Source organism: Homo sapiens, chromosome 11 (assembly GCF_000001405.40).
Source record: "Homo sapiens chromosome 11, GRCh38.p14 Primary Assembly".
Lineage (NCBI taxonomy): Eukaryota > Metazoa > Chordata > Mammalia > Primates > Hominidae > Homo > Homo sapiens.
The window spans coordinates 78,099,022-78,111,986 of record NC_000011.10 but is presented as its reverse complement, the minus strand read 5'-3'; the positions used below and the strand labels follow the sequence as shown (position 1 = coordinate 78,111,986).

The window sequence follows — 12,965 nt, the reverse complement described above, 5'->3', positions numbered from 1 at the left end:
CCCACTTTTAAACCTAAACATACAAGAAAGAAGAATATGTAAGTTGTGACTCTCGGTATTAAACCAGTAAGGAAAATAACCCTGCATTTTAACATGAGGTGAGAAGAAATGAAAAACCCAGGCTATGGTTTTTAAAATTGGGTCGTAATGAAAAATAAGTTATGGTTTGAGATGGTTCTACTAAAAATAACTCACTCTGGATAACACAGTCTCTCATTTGTGAATACAATCTAGCTTGGTGGGAAAATGGCATGATCAAGAGTGGTGGTCAGCAAACTTTTTCTGTAACTGGCCAGATAATATTTTAAGCTATGCAGGCCACACACAGTGTGTGTGTGTGTATGTGTGTCTGTGTCTGTATTTGTGTATGCACACATTTGTTTAAAACCTTATAAAAGTAAAAACCATTCATACTTCAGTGCTGTGCAAAAACTGGGCACAGGCTACATTTGGCTGTTGGCCTATAGTTTGTGGACTCCAGACCTAGAGTCTGATGACTTGGTTTGGAGGCTCACCTGTGTAAATTGCTATTGCAGTGTGTGGCATTGACAAGTCATTTGCTTCCTTTCGTCTAACTTTCCTCACTATACGAAAGACATACTAGTACTTTACCTGTACCTATACAGTGTGTTGTGAGGAACAGAAGCAAAATTTAAAAAGTACTAGGTTATCAGTAGCAGAGACTTTGGAGCCAGACAAACCTGAGTTCAGTTTTACCACCTATTAGTTGTGTGACTTTGGGCAGGTTACTCCATCTCTGTACCTCAGGGGGCTAAAAGTAGTAAGTGCAGAGCCCTGGGCACATGGTAGACGCTCCATGCATGGTGGCCACTATTACTGTTTTTGATAAGTACTTGGAGGAGATCATACACTGCCTATGTGATGACTTATACATTGTGTCACCGTGTTGCTCACTGTGAATCTAGCCTTGATGTACATGGCATTCTTACAGAGTAATTCCTAACATTCATATTTCAAAAAAAGCTTTAAACAGCCAGCATAGTATGAGGTACAAGGGCCAGTTGCCTTGTCTGAGTCAGGAAGCTGTACTGTACCCTCACTTGTATGTTTGTGTCTTTGAAGATGTTTTACATGGAAAGTCAGTGTCAGAGTTAGACAACTTTGTTTTAGGGAGATAGTTATTAGCTGTAAGAGAGAATCAGCAGGCCAAAGGGGAAAGGGGAAGAGGTTAGTAAGTAGAAAATATTTTGGTACATCTTTCCCACATTGTATTCATTTTCACTGGCATTTGACAGGCCCTATAGGTGCTCAAACTGTCTCTGACTGTCCTATTAGCCAGAGCTTGTTGGGGCTTGTATTGTCATTCTCTGAATTGATTTATTTAATAACCAAGTATTTATTGAGCTCCTATGTACTGGGGATAGAAATGAACTCATCATCATTCCTGCCTTCAAGGAATACAGTATAGTAGAGGAAATGAGCACATAAACAAGTGCAGTGCCTTGTGGTGAACACTGTTAGAGTGAGCTCACTCAGCTGTGCACGTTGGCTCAGGCCTGTAATCCTAGCACTTTGGGAGGCTGAGATGGGCGGATCACCTGAAGTCAGGAGCTCGAGACCAGCCTGGCCAACATGGTGACACCCCGTCTCTACTAAAAATACAAAAATTAGCCGGGCATGGTGGCACATGCCTGTAATCCCAGTTAATGGGGAGGCTGAGGCAGGAGAATCGCTGGAACCTGGAACCTGGGAGGCAGAGGCTGCAGTGAGCTGAGATTGCGCCACTGCATTCCAGCCTCTGTCTCTGGGTGACAGAGTAAGACTCCATCTCAAAAAAAAAAAGTGAGCTCACAAGAAAATCAGTTCTGCTTATTGATTTAGGAGCTTTCTCAGGTGATTGAATTAGAAGTTAATTTGGCAAAGGGAGTTGCCTGGGCAGAGGGACACAGGTGTTGAGAGTGGTATATTGAGGACTCACAGTTACTTCATTGTGGCCAAGCCGCATTTAACAAAGTAAAGATGAGATTGAACAGGGGGGAAGGGGCGATGAGATCATGGAAGACACTGGATACTATGTTTAGGAATAGAGGGTTTCTCCCATAGGAGATGAAGGATTCAAAGTTCCTTCATGACATGCTCAGACTGTTCTAGAAGCTTGCTTTCAGAGGTGAGAGCAGATTACCATTTGTGCTGCCTGCCAGCAAGTTTCCTATAAGCTGCACAAATTCCCTGTTCCAATGCAAAGAGCTGCTTTATATATTATAATCTTAAGACCAGAGGCATTTTGGGTAGAATAGTATAGGATTAAATTCATGAAATCTTAGCCTTTAAGCAGCAATAAGATTTAGTAGCTTACTTTTTATTCCTCAAGGAATTGATTGTTAATATATGGTATCTCAGTAATAAAGATAAAAATAAAACAAAACAAAATATCTGTTTAATAGGTTTGAAATTGAAATTTCTTGATCCCAACAATATTCCCAAGGCCTCAATGACAAGTGGTTTGGTTCAGCAGTTCCAACACACAGTCCTTCCCTCAGTGACTCCCTTGGCAACCCTCATCTGCACACTGATTGCCATATTGGTAAGAACTCAACAGATGGTGCTCATTTCTTGAGTTTTCTCTGCTTTTCTTTTGTCTGGCTGATTAAATTTCAACTTTCAAGCTCTTCCAACTGTAGGATAAATTTCATGCCTGTAATCCTTCTGCAGATTGAAGCATTTCCTAGCAATTCTTAGAGTAACTTTGAATACCATAAGGAAGGATTACCAGTAAAGCCTTTGTGAGAGATTCTTGCCAGTGGCTGTTAGACCATCTGTTCACCCGGGGGAAGGGAAAAAGAAAAGCCCAGAGAGGAAGAGGCATGGATCATGCTGCAGAGAAAGAAGGAAATGTTTGTGGCAGGGACATCCAGATTTGGTTTGTTTTTCTCACCGTTAGCTAAATCATCAAAATTCCAAATGTATCTGGACAGCGTGGATGTTTTGTCTTGATGGTGATAATGAGTTGAGAGAGTCGACAAAGGCTTTTTGAGCCTAAGATGAGCCTAATATGAGTAAGATGCTCTTAGAGGCCTCATTCTAAGTACTTTAGAAACTTTAATTTCTAAAATTTCATTAGTGATTGCAGTGACCTCAATTTCATGGTATAATTTTAGTAGAATTCAATATAAACAACTCAATCCTATCGATAATTACACTCATCTTTAATTTTGGTTTCTGAATGTTTCAAACCTGCTAGCAACCACCTGATTCCACTTAATTACATGACAGTACAGGTATGTAGATAATTAAGCTCTGTTGGGCTGTTTGTTCACATATTTTAATTGAGGTAAAACATTTTTCCTAAAATTTCAGCCTTATGAGGTACATATAGTTTCTATGGCCTTCCAGCCAATAAAACTAAGTATTTATTAATATGGTAAATCTAATTTATTGGCTCAAAAGCATCTATGGACTTCTGTAGTTTGACCTATTAGGTTCATTAATAAATGAACTATTAGTAAACTAATTATGAAGATGTAATAAGTTGTTAGACTGTACATCCCAGAACTTAATTATTAATTTTGATAGTATAATTAATTTCTTTTTTTTTTGAGACAGAGTCTCACTCCGTCATCCAGGCTGGAGTGCAGTGGCGATTCTCCTGCCTCAGCCTCCCAAGTAGCTGGGATTACAGGCGCCTGCCACTGCACCCAGCTAATTGTTTTGCAGTAGTTTTGTTTTTGTTTTTGTTTTTGTTTTTTGAGACGGGAGTCTTGTTCTGTTGCCAGGCTGGAGTGTAGTGGTACGATCTCAGCTCACTGCAACCCCCACCTCCTGGGTTCAAGCGATTCCCCTGCTTCAGCCTCCTGAGTAGCTGGAACTACAGGCATGCACCACCACGCCCGGCTAATTTTTTTTGTATTTTAGTAGAGACAGGGTTTCACCATGTTGTCCAGGATGGTCTCGATCTCCTGACCTCGTGATCCGCCCACCTCGGCCTCCCAAAGTGCTGGGATTATAGGCCTGAGCCACCACACCCGGCCTTTTTTGTAGTTTTTAGTAGAGACAGGGTTTCACCATCTTGGCCAGGCTGGTCTTGAACTCCTGACCTCGTAATCGACTTGCATCAGCCTCCCAAAGTTCTGGGATTACAGGCGTGAGTCACTAGGCCCGGCCAATTTTTTTTTTTTTTTTTTTTTTTGAGACAGTCTCGGTCTGTCACCTAGGCTGGAGTGCAGTGGCGCAATTTCAGCTCACTGCAACCTCTGCCTCCCAGGTTCAAGCGATTCTCCTGCCTCAGCCTCCAGAGTACCTGGGAATACAGGTATGTACCACCACGCCCAGCTAGTTTTTTTTGTATTTTTAGTAGAGATGGGGTTTCACTATGTTGGTCAGGCTGTTCTTGAACTCCTAACCTCAAGTGATCTGCCTGCCTTGGCCTCCCAAAGTGCTGGGATTATAGGCATGAGCCACCATGCCCAGCCAGTAGAATTAATTTTAATGAGTTAAATATATACATCAAGGCTAGGTGCGGTGGCTCAAACCTGTAATCCCAGCACTTTGGGAGGCCAAGGCAGGCAGATCACGAGGTCAGGATTTTGAGACCAGCCTGGCCAACATGGTGAAACCCCGTCTCTATTAAAAATACAAAAATTAGCTGGGCGTGGTGGCAGGCACCTGTAATCCCAGCTACTTGGGAGGTTGAGGCAGGAAAATCGCTTGAACCCAGGAGGTGGAGGTTGCAGTGAGCCGAGATCGCACCACTGCACTCCAGCCTTGGCAACAAAGCGAGACTCCGTCTCAAAAAAACAAAAAATTATATATATATATATATATATATATTTACATATAAAATATATTTATTTACATATAAAAATATATATATACACATCAAATGCCAATTTTTTCTGAGTTGTTGCTTTTATGTTAACTTTTGTTAGACTGTGCACAAAGTGATGAATGATTCGGTTTCATGAAGAATTGTCTAAGATTGGCTGTCTTTCAGAGATGATGCAAATTGTATTCACCTGAACTCTGTTTCTGTAAAGTCTGTTTCAAATGATACTGAAGTTTATCTTTGCCTGTTGTTTCTAGCCCTCTATTTTCTGTCTTTGGTTTAAACCCCAAGGGCCCAGAGGCTTTCTCCGATGTCTAACTCTTTGTGCCTTGAGCTCCTTTATGTTTGGGTGGCATGTTCATGAAAAAGCCATACTTCTAGCAATTCTCCCAATGAGGTAAGCAGATAGCTCAGCCAGTGAGCATTTTGGCATATTTCACAATGATCCTATTTTCTATTTGCTCTGTCCCTTCTTGTCATGTTCACCAGGATAGGCAAAAACAAAGATGTATAGGAACAGATGTCCACTAGGACAGGACAGGGATGCTTAACTTGAGATTCTTGGACCCATGAAGGTATGCAAAAATGCATGTACTATTTCTGTTTCTGCGTTTTTGGAAAGAAGCACTGTAGTGATTAAGTACCATGAAAGCCGGCTTTTAGATCTGATCATTGAGGGACAGTATGTTATAGAAAAAACCTGGGCTGGCCGGGCGCGGTAGCTCACGCCTGTAATCCCAGCACTTAGGGAGGCCAAGGCGGGCAGATCACGAGGTCAGGAGATCGAGACTATCCTGGCTAACATGGTGAAACCCCATCTCTACTAAAAATACAAAAAATTAGCTGGGCATAGTGGCACATGCCTGTAGTCCCAGCTACTCGGGAGGCTGAGGCAGGAGAATTGCTTGAACCCGGGAGGAAGAGGTTGCAGTGAGCCGAGATCGCACCACTGCATTCCATTCTGGGTGACCGAAGGAGACTCTGTCTCAAAAATGAAAAAAAGAAAAAACTTGGGCTTTGGTGTCATCCCGTCTGAAAATAAGGTCCCATGGTTCCTTGTTAAGTGTTGTTAGTCAAAGTAAGGATTTAGTCTATTCTGGAATAATACCTGATACTGTACTACATTTCAGATTTTCCAGAACTGTTTTTGTTTTGCATTCTTTCTTTTGCGCCTCACAATAATCTTTAAGATAATTGGCCAGGCATGGTGGCTCACATCTGCAATCCCAGTACTTTCGGAGGCTGAAGCGGTGGTTCACTTGATGCCAGGAGTTTGAGATCAGCCTGGCCAACATGGCAAAATCCCATCTCTACTAAAAATACAAAAATTAGCCAGGCATGGTGGTGCATGCCTGTAATCCCAGCTACTTGGGAGGCTGAGGCATGAAGATCCTTTGAACCTGGGAGGTGAAGGTTGCAGTGAGCCAAGATGGCGCCACTGCACTCCAGCCTGGGGCAATAGAGTGAGACCCTGTCTCAAAAAAAGAAAAAAAAAAAAGATAGTTAAAATAAATGGGTATTATTCCCTTTTTTTTCCTTTCTTTTTTTTTTTTTTACTTTTTGGTAGAGACAGGGTCTTGCCATGTTGCCTAGGCTGGTCTCAAACTACTGGGCACAAGCAGTCTTCCTACCTCAGCCTCCCAAAGTGCTGGGATTGCAGATGTGAGCCAACAAAACAGGCTTATTCCCTGTCTTAACATCTGAAGAATCTAGGGCTCAAAATGTTTGTGACTTGTCCAAAGTCATACAGGTCGCAAGAATTAGAGTTAGGACCTGAATCTTATGATGTTGAATCTATGATCTTTTCACTATGCCATGCTAAAAAAACCATTTTAAATGTAAGTGTCCAGTTTAGGCATAGTTGAAACCCAATAGATAAATAAATGGTAATAATAGCCTCTTTCTTTATATTTTTCTTGAATCTTGAGAAATCATTTAAGCTCTGAACATATATTAAGCAAATTTGTCAGGCCAGTATGTGGCTTGTCTGGGTTTATTTAGCAGCTTGGAGTTTCCAAATTAAAAAGTAAAGCAAAAACTTTTAATGTCTTTAGTCTGAATTCACACCAAACACCAGCAGGTGAAGGGCATTGTCCAAGAGATGAGCTATAGGGTTGGAAATGAAACTCCAAGTCCTGTTTCCCTGACTGCCACCACTAGGCAGCTCCCAATCCCACAACATTCCTGTCTTTGGAGAAGGCAATTACTCAGGGAAGCAAGATTCTTTTTTTTTTTTTTTTGAGACAGAGTCTCGCTCTGTTGCCCAGGCTGGAGTGCAGTGGCGCGATCTCGGCTCACTGCATCCTCTGCCTCCCAGGTTCAAGCAATTCTCCTGCCTCAGCCTCCTGAGTAGCTGGGATTACAAGCACCCGCCACCATGCCCAGCTAATTTTTGTATTTTTAGCAGAGACAGGGTTTCACCATGTTGGCCAGGCTGCTCTTGAATTCCTGACCTCAGGTGATCCTCCCGCCTCGGCCTCCCAAAGTGCTGGGATTAAAGGCATGAGCCACTGTCCCCGGCCAGAAGCAAGATTCTTTTACGATACCCCTGATTCAGTTTGATACATGCTATTGATTGCTTAAAATTTCCTACTAAAAAATTAATATTCTCAACTAAATTGAACTTGTGCCAAAATCAGCATGTTCTTCTATGCCTCAGCCAGTTCTAATGTAATAGGAGATGCAGTTTATTTAAGCTATTTGCAAGTGTAATAACAGTTGTTGTTTTAAGAAATTATTTTTATTTTTAGCCTTTTGTCTGTGGGAAAAGCAGGAGACGCTTCGATTTTTCTGATTCTGACCACAACAGGACATTATTCCCTCTTTCCTCTGCTCTTCACTGCACCAGGTAAACAGCGTCTTCTGAGAAAAATATATTTGACTATCACAACCTTTTCATCGAGGCCCACAGATTAATACATCTAATTTAAACAACTCTAAAATCTCTTGGATAGAGATCATTCATCCTCTTAAATAAAACCTCCAATTTCCTGTAATTCTCAGCATCTCTAGATGTCACAAAAATGTAAAATTAAACTTAAAAAGTATTATTAGCACTATATAGCTGTGTCAGTGTGCTTATATTACTTTCAGCATCATAAGTCTTTCTGTCATCAGCTAAATTATCTTTTTTTTTCTATTCTTTTAACAGAACTTCCCATTAAAATCTTACTCATGTTACTATTCACCATATATAGTATTTCGTCACTGAAGACTTTATTCAGGTAATCAAAAAAATGTTTAAAATTATACTTACTCTTGTGAAATGTTTACACCTAAGTGGTCAAATAAGCTCTTTAAATTTTATTTTTAAGTTATAACAGTAATATGACAACATTACAAAAAAAATTGGTAAATAGAGGGAGAAATCACTCAATCCCATCACTCAGTCGAGACAACATAGTTTGTGTCTTTAGTTTGGGGGAGTATTTGAGGAGGACTACTTAAATTAAAATCCTATATGAAAACTCAAAAACTGAATGTAAAATATGCTTTATGAATAAAACTATTAAATACAGATAGATATGGAAAAAACTAAAAGATACTATGTACAAATTTTTTTTGTTCGTTTTTTTGAGACGGAGTTTTGCTCTTGTTGCCCAGGCTGGAGGGCAATGGCGTGATCTCGGCTCACCACACCCTCCGCCTACCGGGTTCAAGCTATTCTCCTGCCTCAGCCTCCCAAGTTACTGGGATTACAGGCATGCGCCACCATGCCCAGCTAATTTTTTTTTTTTTGGAGACGGAGTTTCACTCTTGTCGCCCAGGCTGGAGTGCAGTGGCGCGATCTCCACTCACTGCAACTTCCGCCTCCTGGGTTCAAGCGATTCTCCAGCCTCAGCCTCCTGAGTAGCTGAGATTATAGGTATGCATCACTACCACACCTGGCTAATTTTTTATATTTTTAGTAGAGGTGGGGTTTCACCATGTTGGCCAGGCTGCTCTCGAGCTCCTGACGTCAGGTGATCCACTTACCTTGGCCTCCCATAGTGCTGGAAGTACAGGCGTGAGCTGCTGTGCCCGGCTAATTTTGTATTTTTATTAGAGATGGGGTTTCTCTGTGTTGGTCAGGCTGGTCTTGAACTCCCAACCTCAGGTGATCCACCCACCTCGGCCTCCCAAAGTGCTGGGATTACAGGCGTTGAGCCACCGCACCCAACTATGTACAAATTTTACTACAGAATTATAGATGGAAACTTTTTCTCTTCTAAACTGTATGTAATGTTAACTATAATTTTTTTTTTTTTTTTTTGAGACGGAGTTTCACCCTTGTTGCCCAGGCTGGAGTGCAATGGCACGATCTCAGCTAACTGAAACCTCCGCCTCCCAGGTTCAAGCGATTCTCCTGCCTCAGCCTCCCTAGCAGCTAGGATTACAAGCATGCGCCACCACACCCAGCTGATTTTGTATTTTTAGTAGAGATGGGTTTCTCCATGTTGGTCAGGCTGGTCTCAAACTCCTGACCTCAGGTGATCCACCGTCCTTGGCCTCCCAAAGTGCTGGCATTACAGGTGTGAGCCACCATGCCCGGCCAACTGTAATTTTTTAAAGCTTGCTTATGGTTCATAACTGTGTCCATAAAAACTTATATAATTAACTATGTTAAAATGCAGTTATAGCCATGTGACCCAGCAATTCCACCCCTATACCCAAAAGAATGGAAACAGGGACTCAACAGATACTTGTACATCAGTATTCATTGTAGCATTATTCATACTAGCTAAAAGATGGAAACAACCCAATGTCCATCAACAAATACATGATAAAGTGTGATATATACATATAGTGGATTATTCAGCCAAAGAAAAGAATGAAGTTCCAATACATGCTACATGAATGAATCTTGAAAACATGCTAAGTGAAAGAAACGAGAGAATAGAACAAATATCATATCGTTCCACTGATAGGAAATTCTAGAATAAACAAACATAGAGACAGAAAGTAGATTAGAGGTTGAGGGAACAGGGGGATGGGAAGTTATTGTTAATGGTTCCAGAGTTTCTGTTTGGGGTCACGAAAATATTTTGAAGGTGGATAGTGGCGATGGGCGCATATTATTGATCTACTTAATACCATCAAACTGTATACTTAAAAATGGTTAAACAAATAGCAAATTTCATGTTATATATATTTTACCAAAATAAAAAATATTTTAAAAATCTGGTGAAACCTTGTCTCTATAGAAAATACAAAAATTAGCTGGGCATGGTGGCAGGCGCCTGTAATCCCAGCTACTTGGGAGGCTGAGGCAAGAGAATCGCTTGAACCCAGGAGGTGGAGGTTGCAGTAAGCTGAGATTGCACCACTGCACTCCAGTCTGGGTGACAGAGCAACGCTCCATCTCAAAAAGAAAATTTTTTTTAAATCTTCAATTCTATATTGTTTCTCATGTTCTTATTCCAATGTCACAGCACCCAACCCCTTTACCTCTTTCAAATGCAGAACTAATTCTCTCTGAGCAGCTTGAGCTAAATAACAGCATAGGTCAATGGTGGAGTAAATTTAGATTGTTGAGATAATATAACGTATATAATTATCATTTTTTTCTAAATGTGAAACTTATTTTTTATTTTTATTTATTTTTTGAGACAGAGTCTCACTCTGTCGCCCAGGCTAGAGTGCAGTGGTGCCATATCGACTCACTGCAACCCAGTTAAAGCAGTTCTCCTGCCTCAGCCTCCCAAGTAGCTGGAATTACAGGCCTGTGCCACCCTGGTCGGCTAATTTTTGTATTTTTAGTAGAGATGGGGTTTCTCCATGTTGGCCAGGTTAGTCTAGAACTCCTGACCTCAGGTGATCCACCTGCCTTGGCCTCCCAAAGTGCTGGGATTACAGGCATGAGCCTCTGCACTTGGCCCTAAATGTGAAATTTAATATACTCTTGACTCTGGCCTTGGCTATAATAATTGACAGCAAGACAGTGCAGATGGGGAAGCTTTAGCTAGGAAATGTTTGCTAAACCAGGATGACTCATCTAAAATCAGACTTTTCTCTCTTTTTTCCTTCAGAAAAGAAAAACCTCTTTTTAATTGGATGGAAACTTTCTACCTGCTTGGCCTGGGGCCTCTGGAAGTCTGCTGTGAATTTGTATTCCCTTTCACCTCCTGGAAGGTGAAGTACCCCTTCATCCCTTTGTTACTAACCTCAGTGTATTGTGCAGTAGGCATCACATATGCTTGGTTCAAACTGTATGTTTCAGTATTGATTGACTCTGCTATTGGCAAGACAAAGAAACAATGAATAAAGGAACTGCTTAGATATGTGCCAAGCAATTATTTCATGGGAAATTAACCAGAACTTGAAGAAAGTTGCCAGTGGCATCAGCCATTTGTTTCAGTAGAACTGTTCAGAGCACCATTCTTCCACACTTGGTCTTGCCCAGCCTAGCAACCGGATTGTCACCATGGTGAGAAGCCACTGGCCCTCCATAAGCACTGAAACACATCTGAAAAAAACTCACCTTTCCCTATTAAAATTGTCTGAGATCGTTCAGACTGCTGTGCTTGCTCAAGCCAAACAGGGAATCTGATTAACCGCATAATTATTTGTAGCCTATGCTAACCATTGTGAGGATATAAAGCATAATTAGAATCCTGTGCTAAGGAAATATAAATGAAATGCTATTTTGTATGCACAAAAAAACTTCTGGATCGTTACCAGCTCCTACATTTTCCTCTTGGCGTGTACACAGGCAGATGGTGTACTGTCCCCATTCTGTACACCTTGTTCGAGATTTTTTTTGTTTGAAATTATACAGTGACAATACTCACAAAGCCAAGGGGAGTAGTTAAGGTACTGGTTTGGCCAGGCAGCAGAAACTACAAACCACAGCTACTTTACATTGATTTAAGGATATCTCGTGCAGCTCATTTATTCTAACAGCAAGCACTGCAGTTTTTATAAGGCAGCCACTTAAACCTTTCATCATGCGCAGGAACTGAAGTGATTTTTGCAGTCTGGTTCTTATCCTTTCCCTTCCTTAAGAGTACTTCATATACGCTTTTTATCCAGGACCCCAATTTGTGTAATATCTGCCACACATTCAGATTCAGCCAACGTTTATCTAGTCAACAGTAGGAACTTTCACACATTTTATTTTATTTCTATTTTTTTTCAGCCCTCAGGCAGAATTCATACATTTTATTTACCCATTATCCCCTAAGATCAGAGAGACTCCAAGGTCAATGGCATTCTGAGATGGAATCCAGTTATTCCATCTCTTCCGTCTACTCCATTTTCTAAGACTTCTTTTTGGTCTGTTATTGCAGAGACAAAGATGGGGATCTTGCCAAAGGGGGAGGGAAGCGTAGCGCCTCTAACCTGTTTTCCTGCCCACAGACTCTCCTCCACCCTGTGTTCCAGCTGGCCTAACAACTTCAAACTCCCCGTGTGCCATGCTGTCTTGTACCTCTGTTCCCTTTCATTCATGCTGCTTCCTCTCCTCTCTGCTGACTTCTACCCTGTCATCTGATTATATGAACCTCTTCAAGATTCAGCTTAACTGCTACCATGTCTGTCAATATAAAGGCAGAATGGTGTAGTGATTAAGAGTAGGGCCTTAAAGTCGTATGTCCTGGTTGTAAATCTTGCCTCCATCATTTTTTTTAAAATCTGTAGGCAGGTTATTTAACCATCTTTTATCTGAATGTTCTCATCTCTAAAATGATTACATAAAAGATTAAGAACACTGCCTGATGCATTTTAAGTGCTCGGTCAATAGCATTGCTATTTATGTGAATCTTTTCCTATCCCTCTACCTTCCCTCCTCCTGCAGAATTGAGTTGCTCCCACTGTGCCAGGAGTCTGCTGATACCATTAACTGCTGTAATACTGTGTTATGCTTGTTTACCTCTTTTCCCCAGGAGACTAGCAGTTTGAGACCACACTTGTCTTCATAGCCCCAGTTTTTAGCACAGTTGAATGAATGAATGAAGCACACCAAACCAGCCATGATTAAAACCTAAATATTTTACTAGTACAAGCATTAACACAAAGGACCAGTATAGTTCCTCACGTCTTTGCTGTTGTCCAAGCCAAAAAAAAAAAAAAGTAGAAGATGAATTTGGATGGATTTCAACCTGACCAAATTTACTTTTTTGGTTGTTATTATGAAAGTGATGTGATGTCAGAACGGGAAGAGCTCATCTAGTGTAGGGATTTCCAGAATGTTCTGTAGAGCACT

The 12,965-nt window shown here is 41.1% G+C and overlaps 1 protein-coding gene across 32 annotated transcripts in view, besides 1 other annotated feature; it reads left to right on the top strand.

The window, feature by feature from the left end:
* Nucleotides 1-11,041, top strand: part of ALG8 (ALG8 alpha-1,3-glucosyltransferase) — a 38,681-nt gene extending 27,640 nt beyond the window's left edge. For 11 of the 32 annotated variants that reach the window (NM_001425234.1, NM_001425231.1, NM_001425226.1 and 8 more), the window contains 5 exons: nucleotides 2,406-2,545; nucleotides 5,041-5,180; nucleotides 7,534-7,631; nucleotides 7,935-8,007; nucleotides 10,792-11,041. In NM_001425234.1, coding sequence (NP_001412163.1) covers nucleotides 2,406-2,545; nucleotides 5,041-5,180; nucleotides 7,534-7,631; nucleotides 7,935-8,007; nucleotides 10,792-11,023 — 683 coding nt within the window. In that variant the 3' untranslated portion in view covers nucleotides 11,024-11,041. Of the gene's footprint in view, nucleotides 1-2,405; nucleotides 2,546-4,222; nucleotides 4,271-5,040; nucleotides 5,181-7,533; nucleotides 7,632-7,934; nucleotides 8,008-9,038; nucleotides 9,114-10,767 lie in introns of those variants that run through there. The other 21 variants (NM_001425236.1, NM_001007027.3, NM_001425239.1 and 18 more) reach the window with 17 other exon arrangements.
* Nucleotides 6,790-7,084: a silencer, noted in NCBI's record as "tiled region #11448; HepG2 Repressive DNase matched - State 12:CtcfO". NCBI's record gives its function as "represses a minimal TATA promoter and a strong SV40 promoter by Sharpr-MPRA in HepG2 cells {active_cell/tissue: HepG2}" and the evidence as "EXISTENCE:reporter gene assay evidence [ECO:0000049][PMID:27701403]".